The sequence below is a fragment of the Homo sapiens genome, chromosome 4 (assembly GCF_000001405.40).
Source record: "Homo sapiens chromosome 4, GRCh38.p14 Primary Assembly".
NCBI lineage: Eukaryota > Metazoa > Chordata > Mammalia > Primates > Hominidae > Homo > Homo sapiens.
The window spans coordinates 79,293,704-79,315,650 of NC_000004.12; the positions used below are offsets into that span (position 1 = coordinate 79,293,704).

The 21,947-nt window shown below is 37.4% G+C and overlaps 1 protein-coding gene and 1 long non-coding RNA gene across 9 annotated transcripts in view, besides 1 other annotated feature; one reads left to right on the forward strand and one right to left on the reverse strand.

The window, feature by feature from the left end:
- Nucleotides 1–15,096, forward strand: part of LINC01088 (long intergenic non-protein coding RNA 1088) — a 337,052-nt gene extending 321,956 nt beyond the window's left edge. Inside the window, exons 5-6 of the long non-coding RNA NR_038342.1 lie at nucleotides 12,988–13,025; nucleotides 14,570–15,096. This is a non-coding gene — a long non-coding RNA (long intergenic non-protein coding RNA 1088). The remainder of the gene's footprint in view (nucleotides 1–12,987; nucleotides 13,026–14,569) is intronic.
- The window catches only part of NAA11 (N-alpha-acetyltransferase 11, NatA catalytic subunit), a 170,686-nt gene that overhangs the window by 138,328 nt on the left and 10,411 nt on the right, over nucleotides 1–21,947 (reverse strand). The window contains exons 1-2 of one of the 8 annotated variants that reach the window (XR_007057978.1): nucleotides 2,807–3,636; nucleotides 310–411 (exon numbers count right to left, since the gene is read on the reverse strand). The exons of 2 other annotated variants lie outside the window; for them this stretch is intronic. The gene's annotated coding sequence lies outside the window, so the exon portion shown is untranslated. Of the gene's footprint in view, nucleotides 1–97; nucleotides 412–2,806; nucleotides 3,637–21,947 lie in introns of those variants that run through there. 5 more of the 8 variants (XR_007057977.1, XR_007057979.1, XR_001741340.2 and 2 more) reach the window with 5 other exon arrangements.
- Nucleotides 3,833–4,401: an enhancer, noted in NCBI's record as "H3K27ac-H3K4me1 hESC enhancer chr4:80218690-80219258 (GRCh37/hg19 assembly coordinates)". NCBI's record gives its function as "activates a minimal SCP1, AML or CMV promoter by ChIP-STARR-seq in primed H9 embryonic stem cells {active_cell/tissue: H9 hESC(primed)}" and the evidence as "EXISTENCE:reporter gene assay evidence [ECO:0000049][PMID:30033119]".

Below are 21,947 nucleotides of genomic sequence, written 5' to 3' on the forward strand. Positions count from 1 at the left end.
ATGAACAAGTGAGAAATCGAATGACCAACTGGTCCATTTTTCTCTCCTCCACAAACTTCCTTTTTAAAAGTATGGTATGGTTTAAATGTGTCCCCCAAAATTCATGTGTTGAAAACTAAATTCCCAGTGCAACAGTGTTAAGAGGTGGGATCTTTAAGAGAGGATTAGATCAAGACATCTCTGCCCTCCTGAATGGATTAATGCCATTATCTCAGGAATGGATTAGTTATCTCAGGAGTGGTGTCCTGATAAAATGATGAGTTGGACCCTTTGTCCCCATTGCTCTCAAACCCTCTCTTACCTTCTCACCTTCATGGGATGATGCAGCAAGAAGGCCCTTGCCAGATGTCACCACCTTGATATTGAACTTCCTGGCCTCCATTAAGTGTAAATCACTCAGTCTGTGGCATTCTGTTGTAATAGGACAAAATGGACTAAGACAAAGTAGAAATTCCAGATATGGGTTCCATAGTACATCAATGCTGAGCCCATTTCTAAATTTTAAGCACAGCTCATCTGCCAAGTTGCTAAGGTTTTAGCCTATGACTCATAAGCCCTTTGGACTCATTACCACATCGTCTCCCTTTGAACTTACCCTACAATCAAGGAACAGAAATACAGGGTAAAGAAGAATCTAGCTGCGAAAACTAGATTCAAACAATTAACCAATGTTTGTGGAGGGCACATACTGATTTTCCTACATCAGTGATTGGGAAAGAAATTGAAGTTTATATACACATTGCTAAATAAGAATAGAGACAATGCACATCCGAATCAAATTTTGGCAATCATAAAAGGCAATGTTTATGAACATGTCTAAATGCAAATTAGAAACAAATCATTGTTTATTAAAATCAGTTTCATTTAATCTTTGATATTTCTAATATTTGCTAGGAAAGATTCCTGTCTTTTATTTCTATCTGGTGGCTTTGTTCAAATCACTCTCTAAGGTTCTTTTATCCAGTTTATTATAAATAAATTAAACATTACTCTGTATCCTCGAGGAAAGAGGATTTTAAATTTAAATATCTATAAGCATTTCTATGTATCTGAAAGTAGACATGATGCTAAAAATGAAAAATGATCCATAGTTTTCTAATAATATACAATTTGTATACTCTTACTTATATTTTCAACTAGATTCTGAACTCTTGAAGGAAAAACCTTCTTATTGCCTATTTTTGTATAATTTACGCCTATAGTTCATCCCCATTCCCTCATCCCATACTATAGTGATTTCAGTGATATGGATATAGTAGGTGTTTAATAAATATTTGCTGTGTGAATAAATTGCTTTCCATTACTGAAGCTACTTTGAGAATTATTTTTGAAACAATAAAGAGTCTCAGAAAGAATATAGTAGACAAGGTTTGAAACAGGGTTTGCATGTAAATTAAGCATCTTTCTTCAGGTCTCTGATTTTGACATAATCCAAATACTGCTTCACTGTAAAGCAAAGAGGCATGTTAGTGCATCTTATTCTGTCTTAGGGAGTCAAAAGGTGCAATGCAATAGAAGAGGTGATGTTGGAACTTGCTTTTTGGCTGCATGCTTTGCCTTTCAAGCACTGACTGAGCTGCAGCATAAGGTGTGAAATTAGGACAAATGTTCCAAGTCCTAGAAAATGAGTGTTTTATTTAACTCCATCTTGCTCAGGAAATCTGTTTCAGGATTACAGGCTTTCAGAAAAGATTGTTGACTAAGGGATATTTAGGTTGATAAATAGAAACAAAAAAACTGCATGATCTTTGACAACAAAACTAAAATAAATGCTGACACACAAAAGCAACTTTGATAATGCTACTCACAATAGTACTCCAGAGTTTACTTTTAGACACATAAGGAAGGACCTGTAGATAAACTTAAACTCTCAGGAGTTGGTTTATCCCCCCAAACCGTAATATCCCCTGTGCTAAACACTGGGAAATTGTATTACTTTAAAAAAGCAGGAAAGAAAATGTTCAAAATGCTAGACATTAAATGGGTAGTATAAATAATCTTCAATTGCAAAAACTCTTTGCTGTTCAATTTAAAAAGACAGCTTAGAAAAACTAGTCAAGGATAAAGTATCATGCTTCTCATAGTATTTTCTATCTCCATCATTGATAAAGTAATGCAGAACAGATTGAGTTATTATAACCATGAACTTCTTATTTATTTAATATAAAATATACAATTTGTTCTTCTGTTCTGAGAGTTCTATTCCTCTGAGAAGTAACATGTCTTTAAAGTATTAGATTAGGTGAAGCCTGTCTAGTTGTTTATATTCATTCTTGAGCTAAGCTAATATTAATAAATGGATTCTTACCACTTTTAAAAGATATCCCTTTTCTTTTATTTTGCTATTTGAAATGTCTTACTTTCACTAAACCAAATTCTTCCTTCTGAAATTACTTCATTCTGTGTAATTCTGTGTGGAAGTGGAAGTAGAAGTAGCAAATATATACTGAATCCTGTATTATATGACAGAAAATCTTTTGCCTTACATTGACCTAGTTAATCTTCATCATAACAGTTTGAGGAATGTTACTAATTATCCCCTTTTTACACATGAGGAAATTAAGGCACAAAGAAGGTAAGCAACTTGTCCAGAGTTACACAGCTTAAAACTATGAAGCCAAGCTTCAACTTCTGGAAGTCATCCTTTTAACCAATAAGCCATTCTTGACAGAGGACACCATTTTGTTCATCTTTGTATTCCTACACCTTACCCAGTGCCTAGAACTTATTAGGCACTTATAGAACATTTATAAAACAGAGCGCTTATTAAGCTTTAGAATGTACCTCCCTTTATTTCTTTTCTTACCTCTGCAGCCAGATTCACACCTTGGCCTTCCTTATCTGGGAAAGAGCTCCTCATTAATTTCAGCATTCAATCTTCAATTGATACTCAGTTTCAAGTACAGTTTTGACCTTCTCATTTAATTCCCTTGCTCAAAAATTGACCATGGACCCCATTACCTCTGAACTCTTGTGTCTGGCATTGAAGGCTCTCTTTTCTTTGTCCTAGCCTATGTTAGTTCTTGTCTCCCAGAAGCCAGTATGCCAAATTCTACTACTCAGTGTTGTCATAGAATGCCCTATGATTTAACATTTATCCCCACCCATAGACCACTGAATGTTTTTCCTTTGTTGTTATGTGCTCCTGAATTCTCACTCCCATCTAATCCCCATTTATGATTAAGGCTATTGATTCTTCAATGCTTAAATTAATGGCAGCGGCAGACCATCCAGAGCAGCTGCTGTCATCAGGGAGGCACAGGCAGTGACAGCAGGAGCGGCTGTGGGAGCATCATCAATGGCAGCAGTGGGTCCCCTGTGCCTTCTGTCCCTGAGCAGCAGACTGCACTGCTCCCACCCTCCTGAGGCCAGGCAGGACCTGCTCCCAGGTCCAGAGCCTCTGCTGCTCTGCATCCTGGCCATGCAGTTGCCGCTGTCGCCTGCCACCGTTGTGGGGAGGGTGTGGGGAGGAGGCAGAACTGGCCCCGGAGTGGTGCTGCACTCCACAGAGCTGGCAGGAACTAGGGACAAGCGAGAGCCTCCGTGGAGCCCACTGCCCTGGGGGCTACTGTGATGGAGCCAGGCTGAGCCACCCACTGGATGGGGAGCAGTGTGGTCAGGCACAGAGGAGTGGACAGAGAGGGCCTCAGCGAGGACCTGGAGCCCCGGCCCCAGATTGTGAGGAGGTGCAGCTGGGGCTGCCACACACTCCATGGAGTGGGCGAGAGCTCCGCCCTCCCAAACGTAGGGCCTGGGCATCTCTGCACTTTGCACCCTCAGGAGCCCAGGAAGGCCCCCCTGTCCCCTCAGGCTGGGCAGTGTCTGCTCCCACTGACTTGCCTCTTCCCATTCCTGGTGCCTGCTCCAATCTCAGAGCAGGGTTGGGGCCAAGCCCAGGTGCTGTCACAGCCCATCCAGGTGTGCACTCACTCGGGGTATTGCTGACATGCCAGCCCCCTCATGCCTCAGCCCCCTCCAGACTTTGGGTGCCAATAAGCACGTGGTGGGGGGAGTTGAAGGGGGACTGAGGGCAGCTCGGCGCTGGCCTGCAGGTGCCCCTTGGTGCAAGCAGCCTGGGTGCCATGGACAGCAGCAGGAGGCAGACAGGCTTCTGTGTGGAAGGGGGTGGGTCCCTGTTGAGGCCCCACCTTCAGGCTAGGGAGGGCCTGAAGGCTGGGGGGCAGGCTGCCAGTCCTGCAGACCATAGTGGGAATTTGTGGTGCCTTTTCTGGGCCCACCAATGGCTGCCCATGGACCAATCAGCATGTACTTCCTCCCCACTGAGGCTGATAAAAGCCCAGGGCTCAGCCAGAGCAGAGCAGATGATGGGAAGAGCAGCTGCAGAGAGGAGCTACGTTTTCTGCTGGGAGCTGAACACTTGTTGGGACTACCTGCCTGAAGAGAGGTTCTATCCTCTCTGCTAGGAGCTGAACACTCATCTGGACACCCTGGCTGCAGAAAGGAGCTGCCCCCTGCAGGTCTCCCCTGAGCTGTTCTATTGCCCAATAACGCTCCTCTTCGTCTTGCTCACCCTTCACTTGTCTGCATATCTCATTCTTCCTGGTCACATGACAAGAAGTCGGGACCCACTGAATGGTGAGGCTAAAAGAGCAGTAACACGAACAGGCCTGAAACATGTCCCTTGCTTGCCAGGTTGCGGGAGAAGAAAAGGAGAGAAGAGTTGTGGCCCTTTGGGGATCCCAGACCTAGGAGTTCCCCAAGCCAGGGCTGTGACTCCCTCTTTGGGATCCTGTGGTTCCTGGCATCTCCAAGATTCCAGGTGCCACCACATTCCTTAGTGCCAGCTGTGGAAGCTGCTTATGGTGCCCCTGGTCTGGCTGTAGCCTTGCAGAGAGCCAGCCCCAGTGCCAGCACCTGGAGTTCCCACCCCACTGCAGCAGTTGGTGTGTCTGACTGTGCACAGTGGCCAGACCCCACACTCACTCACACACCCCTCACTGTTCCATGCCTGACTCGCCCTTGGCAGGCATGGATACACGCCCTTGGCAAGCATGAGACCCAGACCAGTGGTATGAGCCGAGTGCAGCCTACTGGCCAAGTGGGCGAAATGAGCCCAGTGGGCCCAAGCAAAACTGCCAAAGGTGTCATCGGCCACAGAGGTTTCCAGCCAGGAAATGGACATCCCGAAGATCCCATAACAAAATCAAATGTTAACAGTTTAATAACATGTTCTCCACTGATTTTACTTGACTATATTTTATTTCTCTTTGGATTCAAGTAATAGTTGATTACATTTTGCTTTATGTTAAATGCCTTTGTCTTTTTCTACTTGTTAGGTTATAAACATCTTGAGAGCAAGGACTAAATCTTACTTATCTTTATTAAGAACTAACAGTGGAACACACAGAAAATCCATGGATATACTGTCAGACTGTCACCAAATATACATTCAACATTTTTCTTACTTGTGAGACTGATTTTGAGAAAATTTGCTATCACAGAATCACTAAACTTTAGAGCAGGTAAAGACTCCTGCAATGATTTTATTTACTTGCTATATTTTACCAATAAGAAAACCGAGGCATAGAGAAGTTGAGACTTTCTACACACCAGTGCCTAGTCTTCATGATGCTTATGCCCAACCCTGAGTCCTTTCCTCTATATAATCCTGCCTCATTACATTTCTGAAAGACGGAGAAGTTTTATAACAACAAGATGAAAGACTTTGGAAGTTTACAGAGGCTATCAGGCTATCTTCTCATAGACCCATCATTTGTCCAGCAGAAAGAGACTAAAAAGGCTTATAAGAATATCAAGACCCCAATGTTGTACTTATGGTTTGACTTTATATCTCTGACTAATTACAGAATTTGATTATTAAAAAAGGTTTTTTATATCAAATCTTGGTTTATACTTTAAATTTTTTTGGTATTTATTATATATCAGTTGACACTTCCTCCTCTCCACCCCAAACAAACAAAAACCCCAAAATAAAAACTGTTGGATAGAGCTGTTATCTATCCATAAGCATTGTTAAGCATTGTTTCCTCATTTTATGGATAAAGAATCTCAAAGGAAGCAACTTTGTCAATATTAGGATTGTGACCTTAACCTGGAGAGTAGCCAGGAGGAATCTGTTCTCATATTGCAGATACCAGGACATTCTGCTTCCTCAAGAGATGGTAACTCTAACATCTTGATGTGACTCTACAATATCTAAGGAATGATTTTGTTAGCAATGGAGACTGCGAGTGACAGGTGCTAGTTAAGTCTGAACCAGCCACCACTGCCAATGAGCTCTGGCCTGGTTCAGCTTGGTTTCCCCATTCGCTTTCAGGTGATGGAAATGTCATGCTTTAACATGCCCAGTTATAATACTAGTGGCAATCTGTTGTACCTTCCCAAAGAGACATTCATGCTTATAGGGGCAAGTATTCACAGGCACTGAAAAAGTAGAACTATCTTGAGAATTTGTAAAAATAACATTGAGAACTGCTTCATTCACTGGATGTAGGCAATGATTTTCCTAAGGTGTTAGGCAAAATGCATGCCATTTGTATGTGGGAAGAAAGAATGGCAACAGAGGGAACATTACAATGAAATTTGGTTTTATACCTTGCCATATACCTTAACATGTTTCATCTCAAAGCACATTTTGTTGCCTATTTCAAGTTAAAGTCCCAACTTCTGACATTGATCTTTGATGTGCCCCCACAATATGGCCCCCCTACCCTGCACTTCTATTGCTTCTTCCCTTCATATCTTACCTGCCTTAGTCAACACAAACTACTCATTATGCTTACAACATGCCGATTCAGCAAAATTCAAAGAAACAAACATTTGATAAATGTCCACCATATGTTTGGAATTTTGCTAAGAACTATACAGGGCAGGAAGAGAAAGCATTTCTTCTATCCTTAAGTAATTGGAAATCTAATGGGAAAGACAAGCAAGTACATAAATTAATCTGATATGAAGTAGAGTGAGCGGTAGGGAGGGCAAAAATGTTGAAAAGTAAATTGGGTTATATGAGGACATCAAAAGAGGTTATTTAAGTGTGTGTGTGTTTTTAATGCATTGGGATCCTCTAAAAGGTTTTGAATAGGGAAAGAATGAGCAGAACATGAGGTGGACATTAGAAAGGATAAGCTAGAGAGACGGATATTAAAATTAGAGAAGCCATATTTTAAGAAGGTTGTAATAGCAGTTCGTGTCAGGTATGATAAGGGCCTGAAAGGTAATCACTGATAGTAGAAGTGAGATGAAAGGGATGCACTCCATGACTTTGCAGTAAGAATGTCCTTATATTACAGTGGTTAAGCATGTGAGTTCCAGAGTCACACACAGGTTTGCATCATGTCTCTGCCATTTATTAGCTATGTCACCTTAAATGAATTAGCAAACTGATCTATGCATCAGAATCCATGTATCTAAAGTGCAGATTATCTTGGCACTCAAGTCAAAAGTGTGTTCTTAGTTCACATGGAATAATCTTTATAAAATGCCTGCCACAGAGTAAGTACCGAATAAACATTTCATATTATTGTGGAGAAGTTTTAAGACAGATGGTTGAAGAATTTGATCAGAATATCCTCCCCTCCAAGTTTATTTTTCTTTCCACTTGCTTCTCTACCTTGTTGAAATCTGCCCATCTCTATTGCACTCCACTATGAAGAGTTCCTTGAATAGTCCTGTGCACAATGATCTTTCCTACCTGTGTTTTTAAAATATTGATCATCTATACTAATCAAGAGACACTTAGCATTTACCTCATGCTGTTAAATATATTTCTTTGATACAATTTTTTGATGAATAATATGTCAATTCCTGTTTATCAGCATTAAATAAATTGTAATGCAGATTAACCAGAGGAAGTGATTTTACTTCGGGCTCATTTCTTGGTGATAGAATCCACTTCTAGCTCCTCAGTTCAAGGTCTTTAAGAAGAAAATACAATAAGTTAAAAATACTTCTGTACATGGTGGTGATAAAAGCTGGGCACCCATGGAAAAGCAGAAGAGCTCCAGCATGGGGACCAGCAAGCACAAGGGCTCTAGCTATACGAGGGACCAAGTGTGGAGGAGCCAAATCCATTTTATAATAGCTCACAAAAAATACTTGAATTTAATTTAACTTTGCAGGGCAAAGTTACCCTTTACAACAATAGCTAATTTTATCTTACAATTTATTGTATTCTAAAAGAGGTTTAACATTATTTTGTCTGGAATGGAAGGCAGTCAGCCTTACTTTAAGGAATCTTCTATTTCTTTTAAAAATGATGGATGCTAAAATGCTTCCATAGCAGAACTAGAGAAAAATAAAAGACTGGCCAAACTAATTTCCTCTTATTCTATTTAGTTGGTTTATTTGGCCCTGCATTAGTAGAAATACATAAATAATTTTAAGAAATGACATATGGAATATTTTGAGAGTATAAATGTGCATACGGGATACAAGGGCATCAGAGGGATTTTGTTTTGAAATATGCACTTTTAATGTAGATTGATACCATAGAATAGAAATTGAAATTATATTACAGATTTCTGCTTTGAATAACTTTGTGAATTTTCCTTCTCTTCTGAAGATCTAAATCATATCTTCTCTTTCCTTATGTCAGTCTTCCCAAATGTATTGGTATTCTTTTCTGTGAGAGGTATTATTAATTCATCTATACAATAAGTATTCAAGGAAAATGTCACTGATTTATTCTTGTTAAGTTTAGGTTGCAAGTGTAAAAATCTATAAACAATCAAAATGATGGTAGGACAAAATGAAAAGGGATGTGCAGTTGCTGACTAATATTAATCTGACAAATTTTAAATAGTTTTCTACAAAGACACCCAAATCCTTCATAACAAAGTCTCATTTTTTTGTGTCATTGCATTGTCTGAGACTGTATATGTGTATATAATGTATATATCTTTATTCTATATATGTATATTTGCATTATATTTGTATATACATTTGTGTGTATATTCACATATATTTCATATCTATAGCATCAACTACTTCATAATAAAAGTGATATGTGTAACTTTCAAGTAAAATGGTTTAAAGAAGAAATTGTTTGCTTGCCACTTAATCTCTTTTTCCCTTCTTACAAAATGGAACATGGACTAGTATGTGTAATCCAACCTCAACCAATCCAGAGAAGAACACTGGAGGAGGAAATGGAAGAGAAACAAGATATCTATAGGGAAGGAGCTTCCCTGCTGGCCTGGAAATGCTCATCCCTGGATCGTTAGATAAGACAGAAATAAAATTCTATTTTGTTTGAGACTTTGAATTTTAGGGTTTTGTTGTTGTTGTTGTTACAGCTGCTTAAAATATACACCCAAAGTAATATATTTGCCATCTTGACTTTTTAATTTGTGCATCCTTCCCTTTTCATTCCTGTTCTCTTGAGGCCTTTTATATATATATATATATATATATATATATATATATATATATATATACCTCCCAACATAAATATTTTCAAAAAGCATGCAAAAAAGCAGTCCTAACTGGGAAAGAAACAACATAAGAGATAAATGTACAGGTCAGTTTTTACTGCTAACATGGACCATCTGAAAATCTTTGCAAAGACACTCACTTTTCTTTATTTTCAGATGCAAATTTGATAATATCTTCTTGGCCTTTGTTCATTTATTATTTTATTTTACATTAATTTGAGTAGGGGTCTTGCTCTGTCGCTCAGGCTGGAGTGCAGTGGCATAATCATGATCACTGCAGCCTCAAACTCCAAGGAAGCCTGGGACGACAGGTGCGCATCATTACACCCGCTCTTCCTGACCTTTGTTAATTACAGTGATGATCAAGATAACATAGTGGGAGAATTGGTGAACTGGGACTTAATTTAAGGGGAGATGGGAAAGGAACACAGTGCCATTTGAAAGTAGCTAGCTGTTCAGACAGGAAGGCTCCTTGGAGCAGATAGGCTTTGGTCTGAGATAAAACATTTGGGCAACCTTCTAGAATTAAGTCAATAATGCTTCCCTTTTTGTTTTGGGAGAAGAATGTAATTGGTAGTCTTTTGACTTGGGTAATGGACGTTACCACTCTGTCAGACTCCTTGGTAGGTTTAAAAAGTTGCTGAGAATAAGTTTGCAGATTGGCGTCGGAACCAAAAGAAGTAAGAGTATGAAAACACAGACCTTTTCACTTAAAGATCAAAATGATTAGAATGTCTCTAATGAGCCTAGATGGCCTGAGAAAGAAATCTCCACACATTTTCTGACCTCTTTCATCTTTATATCACATTTTTGTTTTTAATATATGATTGTTTTACTAATTTTTAAAAACTCATGTTGATTCATTTTGTTATTTTTCCTCTGCTCTATGGCATACTTTTCTTAGTGACAGCTCGACAGCTCTTCGACCATCATGTGTTTTTCTGTTTTTGCACCTCTTTTGTCTTTCAGTTGTTAACATATTTGGACTAAGATATTTACATATATCAATAAAATTAGAATTGAGAAGATCCTTTATTTAGCCAAATTTTCTCTGATCTTATCATGAACCTCAGCATCTGTAGATAGCAGTTTCTCAGTTAAAAAATTATGGTCTACAGAGCAGAGTCAACTGAGTGTCAGCAATTTAAACTGTATTCATCACAAAATACAAATTTGAAGAAAACTGCAAGCAATTTTATTAAAAAATGTAAAACAGCACAACATTGCAAAATATATTCTTCAGAAAATTGCCAGTGACACAGTGTTAGAAACAGGTACAGGCTAAGAAAATGATTAAGAATGTGTATGTGAACCAAAAATAATTATCCCATTTATTTTTTAAGGTACGAATAATTCATATAAAGACATTTTTTATTTTGCTTTAATAACAAATGTTAGTTCTATATTTCGGCAAGAATATTTTTATATTTTCAGCAATGAATAAAGTTCATTGAACAGCCAATGAGATAATGATATTAAATTGTAAGTCCAATATACATATTTCAAAGAAATTATATGATTTTTACTACTTTTCCTGCTCCATTTCATCCTCAAAAATATCCTTTTTGGGATTTTTATATGGTCACACTACCTAGAAATTATGCATATGAGAGTATTAAACCCAATGAAACACTTGAATCTAGGTAATGACGGTGGGGGTGCTGGTTTCAGGCAGACTGTAAGAGTGATTTGAGAACCCCTCTTGAGCCCCTTGCCCTAGTATCTTGAGTATGCTATACCTGTTTGGGTGCAAATTAAAAGAACTCTGTCAGTGAAAAGGTGTCATACTGAGAGGCCAGGGTTCCTGTGGCAAGGAGCAGACATAGGTGAATATAATCCTAGGAATAAAGAGACTACATTTCTTTCTCTACCCACCATGTCCCACGTGATGCACTAAGAAGCTGTCCCCAGACTGGCAGTGGTACCTCATGTCTCTGTCATAGTAGCAGTCGCCTGTCTTCATGGGCTGAATTCTTTCTCAGGATGTTCTTTGGTTCTTCATGTAGAGAATGCTGCCGGGACTGACCCATGTCTTTTCTGAATCACCTCTGACATATGACCAGGTTAGGCCATAGATAGACTTTATCTTCAAATAGAGGCTCTTCCCCCACCATGTATGCAAATAAAGTGGTGATTAATAACTAAGGTAAAATACTTTACATAGATCTTAAATATTTATCCAAAAATCTTGGAAAACAAGACTCCTAATACTATACTGCCTTTTAGAAAATTATATTCCACATATTTCACAAAGTAAAACATGACTGCCATGGCAGTATAGTCATCAGTTCATTTCTGAGATCTAGAAGTTTTATGTGCCTAAAATTTCACAAATCATTTGAAAGATTGTTCAATTTCTCTAGAAAAGCCGGTATGGCTCAATGAACAGGGCCTTCTTCCTAAGCTGTGCATCTGGGTAGGATGCTGGCACATGTTCACCTGCAGGATGTCCTGGTTCACAAAAGCTTTTTTTACTTCCTGCTCTCATTTGATAGGAAGCAGTGAGATGGGGAAGCTTTTCATATGAACATAGAAGCAAGAAGATGTGATCTTATCATTTGATTATGTATTATAAGGACACTTAAAAGAATAGAATGGTGAGAAAAAAGCTTTCTCCTCTTTAATAAGAGGATCTCAAACAGGCATCTTCCTCATTTTTTAGGTATATTGAAAGACTCTCAAATGGTATAACATAATAATCCTCAAAAATCTAGTTTTCATCATTTTTTCTACTAGTAATTTGTACATTTCTCTTATTTACATCCCCTTTGAAATTAATTAGCCTATCCTACTTACATGTCTACTTCTTCAGAGTTAACTCATTTATAAAAACAGATGTTTCCCTGAGGAATATGCTTTCATGCTTGCTTTATGCAGCTCTGGTAAGCCCTGTTCCAACTAACTATCTGACATTTCACTCTTCTTAATAGAGAAGTTATGATGGAAGAATATTCACAGCCACAGTTCAAGCAATTAAGGGAATATTGATTTCCATATGGAATCAATGAAAAGCTGGATGTCTGAGCAAGTTAGAGATGACTTAACTTTGGGCCTTTCTATCTTCATTTCCTTATTTATCTTTAAACAAGAAAGAGAACTGTATTGCATTAGCTTGTAAGGGCTGTGATAACAAAATACCACAGACTGTGTGGCTTAAGTGACAGAAATATATAGTCTCACAGTTTGGGATGCTAGAAGCCTGAGATCAAGGTGTTGGCCGAGTTGATTTTCTAAGGCCTCTCTCCTTGGCTTGCAGATGGCCATTTTCTCCCTGTATCTTCACACAGTCTTTCCTCTCTAGGTGTCATCTGTGTCTAATCTCCTCTTATTATAAGGATACTAGTCAAATCAGATTTGGGCCCATCCTAATGGCTTCATTTTAAGTTAATTATTTCTTTAAAGGTGCTATGTCCAAATAGTCACATTCTCAGAGAGTAGGAATTAGAAGTTCACACATGAATTTTGGGAGGGACAAGATTCAGCCCATAACAGAAATCATGGTTATAACTTTTATTTTTCAATAACAGTACTTTGAAAAATGACATTGTGTCTGTTTCTTCCATTTTAAAAGGAATACAACATGTTTAAGACCACAGAACATCTGCATAGGTAAGTATAAATCTTGTTGGCATTTTAATTTTCTCACTGGAAACCTTGTTTTCATGTGCAAGTGCTGAAGGTTCTGGAATATTTTTTCATTATTGCTCTCGTTATGAAAGCAGCTGTTCAATGAACACAGCATATTTTGTTACCTCATCAAGAAGCAGAGGAAGATTATGTTGTGATCAAGTTTTGTATAGCTATAGTCAAAGCTTTTCTGATTGTTTGAGCCTGGTGGTTGATTTAATAGGTATACTCCAGGGCAGTTACTCATCCCTGATATATGTCCAACCCAAAACTCCAAGTTATTTATGTAAACGATGCTTCATATGCCTTCCATGCAGATAAATCCCAGTTGACAGAACTGTTTAAGAGATGAATGTGCTCCCAACTGGGATTACGGTCACAGTATTTATCTATATCAACTTTCATGTTACTTCACTGGCAAATTGGGAGCTTTGGAGGATAAGAGGATAACATATGATCGGGAGAATCTATTTTCTGCTCTGAAGGTAGTATCTCAACATTTCAGTACACTGTGCATCGAGGAAGACATCAGAAAACAAACAAACAAAACAGTCTTGAGAACAGATGATTTGTCTTTGAAAAATAAAAACATCTCTAAATCATGGGGAAAATCTAAAACCAGAGCCATTCAGATATACTCAGAAGTTGGAAAATGTTCTTATGTGTAACAAGTTCTGCATTTTTAGCTTTGGCTGAGGATTTTTTTTTATATGGTAGAATATGAGCCTTATATGTTCTTTACATACACATGATTATTAGAAGATCAAAAAGCTACATATGATTTCTGGTTTAAAAATTATGGAGTAGGAACTATGATCTTTCCTCTTCTTTTATAATAAATCACCCAAAAGCTAAAAAATAATGAGACGAAGGTAAAACAAATGGTAGAGACACATAAAACCTGACAGAGCTGGGAGACACATAAAACCTCAAAACAATAACCACAATCTAAGAAGGGAGTATATTGCTTGTTTCCTATGGCAAATTCAACTAAAATATCCTTTGATAAGAACAATTTTGCACAAACAATTTAATTTTATTTATATTGTAAGAGACTAGAACAATCCAGAAAGAAAATTCTATTTTCTTAATATATTTCTAAAACATTCAACAGCATTTTACTTCTTTGACCATGTAAAGGACATATGGATCCTATATTGAAAATGTATGGACCAAGTTTCCATATATCCAAATAAATTTCCACTATGTTCTAGCTTTATAACTTTGCCCCTATGTAATTCCATGGATATGAAATTATATATGGGAAACACCAAGATAATTATTTTATGAAGGGAAACTAGTGCTCTCTCATGCTCTATATCCTTTATAAAAATTAAAAGAAGAAGAAGGGGAAAAAAATCCTCATTAATGTATGCTGGCAAAACAATGGCAGTCATTTTCCTGGCTGAAAACTAAATTATTGTGCATTGTAGTGTGCATGTCTATGATAAGTAGATTACTATAGATCATTCCGAGAGGAGGTAGAAGGAAGATTGCACTAACATTAGCTTCTCTGGTATTTGCAGGCTGTAAATTTCGTTGAATGATGGATGCAAAGATGGAAGACAGATGGATAGAGGAAAAGACAGAATCAGATACTGGATGAGTTAGTACTGCTGCCTGTGCTTCAGAGCTGTCTTATTACCACAAGGCCGGCAAGCATCAATGTCCCCACATCCCCCTCTGCCTCCCCCTGAAATGTACCGATTTATATGAAAATTAAGATTACAAATTAAAGCCTGGCTATCCTGGAGTTTTCCAGTTCATCAGCCATCCAATAAAAATGATGTCAAGCCTGTATGCATAATTCCCGGAAGATTACTTTCGTCCTTACAGCTAAGCCCTGTCCCTGATATGAAAGATCTCTATCCACTTTTATTGAAATAAAGAACTAACATCATAATCCCAATATTGAGGTATAATCTTCATTATCTCCTGACCCTCTTGAGGTTCCCCCAATCTATATTACTTCAGATTTGGTTTATGTGTAATCCTTATGTATTTACTTTTATTGAGATAGGATTAAAAACTAAAAAAAAAGCTTCAAAAAATCCTTATGATCTCATGATTGAGTTTCATTTCACCAACAATCAACTAATGTGTTAGACTGAGTTTTTTTTTAAGTGCTTCTTATAGTTATATAGTCCAAGCTTGAAAAGGCATTAATTGGTCCCATGTGTTTCCTGTTTCATTACATGAATTATTTCCAATTCAACTTGGTTTGTGAAATAATGGCATCATCTTCTTTTCCTATTAGAAAAGGTGTGGGAGGGGGATGTATGAAAAGATAAGCATACACATAAAATAATCCAAAGTAACTTAAATCTCTTTTCTTAGGAAGTTTTGATTCATACCTATAGTTAATTACTGGTAAACCACAATCTACCAACCTTTTCTTTCCCCCAGAGCCTTAATAGCCTCTGGCTATGCCTCGGGCTGTTAACTACCAAACTAGTCATTAATGCTGGTCAAGATGATTTCTTGGAGATTATTGCTCATTTATTTTTTTAACAGACAAAACAGAATTTGCTTTGCACATGGACTAAAATAATACTTCAGCCATTTTTTTCCTTTCAAAAACATAAACACTGATGAAAATCACATTGTACTGTGGTATTTTCAAAGCATTTCATATGTTATTTTAGCTGTATTTTCCAACTGAAAACTGGATTTGCAATGCTCAGGATTTCCCTGGTAATCATCATGTTTGCTTATTGTTTGCTATTATATTTGGTAAAACACATCTTGATTAAGAGATTTGATGTGTTCTCTATTTACCTGTGCCTCTTATTTTTACCTTTTGTCCAAGGATATGTTAGGAAGATATTTGTTTTTTTAGAATTGAAAACAGGGTATGGAAATAGAAATACTTCACTATTGGCATAAAACAGCACTGGAGTGTTTTCTTCTTAACGTAGTATTTATTGTTTGAAAAGAATTCTTATTCTATTGGTGTTTTTTTTTTTTCTTTTTTTTTTTTTTTTTTTGAGATGGAGTCTCGCTCTGTCGCCCAGGCTGGAATGCAGTGGCACAATCTCGGCTCACTGCAACCTCCATCTCCCGGGTTCACGCCATTCTTCTGCCTCAGCCCCTCCAGTAGCTGGGACTACAGGCGCCCGCCACCACGCCCGGCTAATCTTTTGTATTTTTAGTAAAGACGAGGTTTCACCGTGTTAGCCAGGGTGGTCTTGATCTCCTGACCTCGTGATCCGCCCACCTCAGCCTCCCAAAGTGCTGGGATTACAGGCGTGAGCCACCGCACCCTGCCTATTCTATCGTTATTGATATAAAATGGGATTCATTATAATTTTTATTGGCTCAATTATTCCTCATCTGTGAACCACTCATTTTCATTCATTCGTGCTTTTACTTGAGCACCTGCTATTGCCTGGGCACATTCAGAGACAAATTAGAGAATGGAGAAAAAACTGGAAAGACAAAAACAATCTATGATCACTCAGTCATCTTTCTGCCAAAAAATAATATTCAAACATAAAAACACGTATTGGAATGATTAGGCTTATTAAAATGTTTACTCAACAACTAAAAAGGAAGTGGATGAAACAATATTTTGGTACCCTTAATATTTTCTGGTTATCAGTTTATTTCTGTGAATTTCCTTATTTTACTCTCGCAACAACTCTACAGTTCCTTAAAGCAACCTTATACTTACACCTATTTTGTGGATGTGGAAATTAAGACTTTAGAATTGCTGAAGATATAGAAGAAACAAGAAGGTACTGGAAGAAAAATGCAGAAAAGAAAGCTTCAGGGGTTCAAATACAACAATGCTCGTTTACTTAGCACCTTAATTCCCGCACTTGCTTATAGACAGAAAATGCCTCCTTCCTTTCTTTTGAAAGCTGTGGCTCAAGATGGCAGGACACCCCACAGAGTCCCAGTTTAGATCTTGAAACAGGTAGAGTAAGAATGGTTTTGGTTAGGTAGGTTTAACCTACCAACTGGAGGTTTATTTGAATTACATCTAAATATTATTTATAGGAGCAAGTCTGCCAGTTATTAATAATTTATGAAAGTTGCTTATTACCAGCTATAATGTAGGTTTTATTGACCGATAGATTTAACTATGGGAAGAAGTAGCAGAAAGAGAAAAGGAAGTGAAAAGGTGATATGGGAGTGTGGCTTATTTTGAAAGAATTCTAGTTTTGGCCAGGGTGTATAATGTAAGCTAGAAAATAATAATACTGAGCACCAGGGATGAGTGAAGAATTCATTTATGTCTTTGGCTTAGTCCAGCGCTATTTGACTTAAGACAGTGTGTATGGTGTCCTGGAAAGGTTTATAATTTATAAAGCTTTGAATTCTCAGGGATAAGCCATGAATTACAGGGTGATTTCAAAAGCTTTACATTCTAAGATAAGCCACTATTATGCTTTTTCCTCATTAAAGACAGGAGCTTCTGTTTTTTAGCAAAACTGACCCAAATGTCTTTTAATAAGAATTGTACTGGCATGCAAAAATTTAAACTATAAATACAGTCTGTTTTCATTATTCAGGGTACCCAATTATTATAACAACTACTTTACATTATGAAAATAAAATTCAAGTCAGTAATAAAAAATACTTTTTTTCTTGAACAAACAGAGGATCCAATACAACTGTCATAAAGTCTTTTTTTCACCTTGCCTTTATAAAAATAGCATCTTTGACTTTCTAACAGCTGACAATTTTCTCTTTCATACATTGTCACTCCTAAACCAGCTTTCTAACTCTGAATTCAGATTTCTATCATCTGCTGACAAATGACAATTTCAGGTTATTTCATGGCGCTCCTATTAGCCTGCCAAGGATTTAGTTTTGATAGGGTTGCTATCTTTATAAAGCAAGGTATATGCAATTACATATTTCAACATTTCCAAAGCAGGTACCTTAGGGTATAACTCTAGGTATAATCTAGAGTGAATGAGTTTAACCTCTGTGATACTACTACCTATTAACTCAATGCAGTTGAGGCAATGATGCTAATTAGACACACAAAAGCTGTGACGTTTCAGCTTAAATACCTACTGGATACAAGCTTAATCTACCCCATCCCCAACAATTATAAAGAAGATAATAAAATTAAAGAACATGTATTAAATGTTGAAAAATATATATTAGATTATTGCCTTTCAAGGGCTACACAGACATGAGTAATTTTTAAGGAACTCAAATTCTGCATTCTCAAGTTCCATATGTATGCCTTTCTAAAATGATCTGCCTAAGAGCAGTTCTATGGGGCTGCCTCTTTCTCACCTTTCTTTCACATTAATCTATCTGCCACTTTACAAAAGAGATGTACCTCTCACCCACTGGGAATCTTACTAAGCGACACTGTCCCAGGATGCAAAAACGTCTTGATTGCCAAAGGAGCAATTAGAAATATTTGTTTATTAAAGACCTCCTTATACAAGAGAGTACGTGATTTTTCAAAATTCTTTATAACATTTATTATTTAACAAACAGTCAAACTTTTAATTTGTGTACCAGCTTTCAGGAATAAAAGCCAGACTTAACACTCTCGTTAGAGTTCTGGTAATGAAAAACCAACCAGATGCTTGCCCTAATGTACTATCATGGTTTACTAATGTTTTATTTATTTATTTAAGAGTTGGGGATCTTGGCCGGGCGCAGTGGCTCATGCCTGTAATCCCAGCACTTTGGGAGGCCAAAGCGGGTAGATCACCTGAGGTTAGGAACTTGAGACCAGCCTGGCCAACATGGTGAAACCCCATCTCTACTAAAAATACAAAAATTAGCCAGGCGTCGTGGCACATACCTGTAGTCTCAGCTACTCGGGAGGCTGAGGCAGGAGAATTACCTGGGAGGTGGAGGTTGCAGTGAGCTGAGATTGTGCCACTGGACTCCAGCCCGGGTGTGACAGAGAGAGACTCCATCTCAAAAAAAAAAAAAAAAAAAAAAAAAAGAGTTGGGGTCTTGCTTAGGCTGCCCAGGCTGATCTCGAACTCCTGGCCTCAAGAGATCTTCCCACATCAGCCTCCTGATTAGCTGGGATTACAGGTATGAGGCACCACGCCCAGCCAGTTTACTGAAGTTTTCGAATATGTAAAAATTTTGGTCACTGTGTGTATGTGTGTTTGTGTGAATTCCTTTATTCAAAACCATGTAAATAGGAGATTAAGTACAGTTCGCTTTACCTGAAAAATATATTACATATGAATGCTTAGGTCATAGAGAGTAAAAGGTAACTTTTATTGAGTCTTTTCTTTTCAAATGAATGTATAGAAAGTTGGCTTGCTATATTTACAGGAATTCACCTTCTCCATATTTTATCCCTTAAAATGTCCACATACATGCATATATTTGTCATTGCTGACATAGTTATTGTTTGATAATACATTCTCTGAAACACTGGTTCTTTTCTGGACCATTAAAGAGGAAACAAAAAAAAAATGATCACTGTTACTCTACACCAGTTTAAATTGAGGGGTAAAAATGTCTAAAAGTAAAAATGTTTACAGTAACATTTTTTACAAATTACAATGCAGGTTTTTTTTTACACTAACTCATTACACAATAACCCTGAAAGCACAAAAGTTATTTTTATCTCTATTCTGTAAATGAGAAAACTGATGTGCTAGAGGATATCCACGTGGTCATAAGCCAAACTAGGACTAAAATTTAAGCTGTTGGACTCCGCACTCTGTGTCTTCTCACTCTATTGAACCACCTCTTGTGAAAATTGCTCAACTTGCTAAGGACTGTGTTCTCTAGGTAAGCGCCTGTGAAATGCAGTTGAGGTGATGACACCATTCCAAAGGTGTGAAATCTATCTTAATTTTGGTTAGGAAAGCAATATATGTATGATTTAAAATGAAAAGAGTTTTTTTCCCCAGAACTTCACAAAACGTAATTCCCACGCCCTAATAAGGAAACATGGTGTTTAAATAACCCTTCAAGTGCACCTCAAGGAAATGATCTGTGTCTTACTGGATTTCAAAGACGCATTCATGTCTAGGGAAAAGTATTAATATAAAAAAGGACCTTGATAAGTCACTTAGTCTGTTTCACTGGATTTTGGCTGGGTACTGTGTTCTTAAAAGTTCTAACTCAAGATGCCCAGATGGTGATGGGATATGAGGAGCTAATGACATGGATGGAAGGACGTGGTTCCAGACATGCTAGGTGTCTGGTTCCTAACAAGACACTGCAGAATTTGAGATTTTTGCTCTGGAAACAAATTGGGACAAATTTCATGGTGTGATTTGTGAATGTTCTCATCCTTCAGGCTTGTGCTGTATACTGCCATTGCCAAGTTGTAGCTATTGTTTGCTTGAAAAGAAAGGATGAGGAAGAAAGTAATGACCAAAAAAGCCCTAAAAAATAACATACATGATCTCACATTTATGTAAAACACATATGGAAGAATGTGTGTCGAATGTTCACACGTACTTTTAAAATATTTTTAATTTACAAATTATTTTTAGAACAGTTTTTACAGAAAGTTGAGCAGAGTTCCCATATACCATCTCACCCTTTCCCATATGTTTTATAATAAACAAAATTTTGTTATATCTCCTCTGAATTATTTGCTTCTTTTGATGAATTAATTTGTCTGGAGAGTATTAACATGGAAAAAAGCTCCCTTCATATTATCTTTATGAAGAATTCAACGCCTTGTACTGATCAGTGATTTTCAGATGACAGTGTGCAAAACAATCACCTGGAGGGTTGTTAAAAATACGGGACTGATTTTTTAAGTCTGAGCCAGAGACAAAGAAACTGCATTTTTAACATAGCACCCAGGTGATTCCGATGCACTAAGCATATGAACTATACTTTGAGAAACAATAGGCTAGAAATTCTTATCCCCGGATGGAAAATCTCTATTAGACCACCTGAACCCATACATAGGTCTGCTGCTCCTTAAAATTAAAAAAAAAAAAAAAAAAAAAAAGACTCAGTAGTCTTTTTCAAATCCTGTCAAATGTTGTCAGCATGGAAAACAATTTCAGTGTCTGAGCTAATTCATCAACCAATGAACACGATAAATTGAGTGAGAATTAGAAGTGAAACTTTTAAAAACCTCATACACCATTCACTTGCCTAGAAGCCAATGAGGCAAAATTGTTATATCAAAGCATCCTAATAGATATAATATTATCAATACATTTTATACTATATACACTTTTTTGTTGTACACGTTTTTAACAAACTCTATTTTTATTGAAATTATTAGGCCATCAAGACATAAACTCAAACAGGATTTATGTAAATGTATATTTAAGAAGGGGAATCTGAATTATTTAGGGTCTAATCTATTATTAAATGACCTAATGGATAGTCACAGGTGTTTTGGACCCCAGTCCAAGGGTTGGAGATGAGCTTTAAGACCCTTACTAGTCAAAGTGTGGTTCCGGGACCAGCAACATGAGCAATGTAGGAACTAGTTAGAAATGCAGATACTCAGGCCCCACCAGACATACTGAAAAAAAAAAAATCTGCATTTTTTAACATAATAACCAAATGACTTAGCTGCACATAAAAAATAAAGAAAACTTTCTTTCCAGTGTTTCAGTCCTGATCCTTTCTAAATTTTCCTGGCTGTGGACTAATTCCCAGTACTATTCCCCATTTCTCCCATATATCCACACCCCATTATTTTTATTTCAGATGGTCATCTCTCGCTTCTTGCTCTTATCTCCAAAGGGAAAACCACACAGACTCTAACTAGGAACTCACAGGCTTCATTCACAAGTTTTCCTCTTTTAACCAAAGAAAACGTAGTGAGCTGATCAATATCTTTAAATAATCTGCTAGCAGACCTGAGCACATCCAGTTTATTTAAAGCTGCAAGTGAATAAAATATAGCTAGTATAAGGGTATTCACACCATTAACTGTCCTCCCTCCTTGCTTCAAAGCCTTGCTTTGCTCTCTCTAGG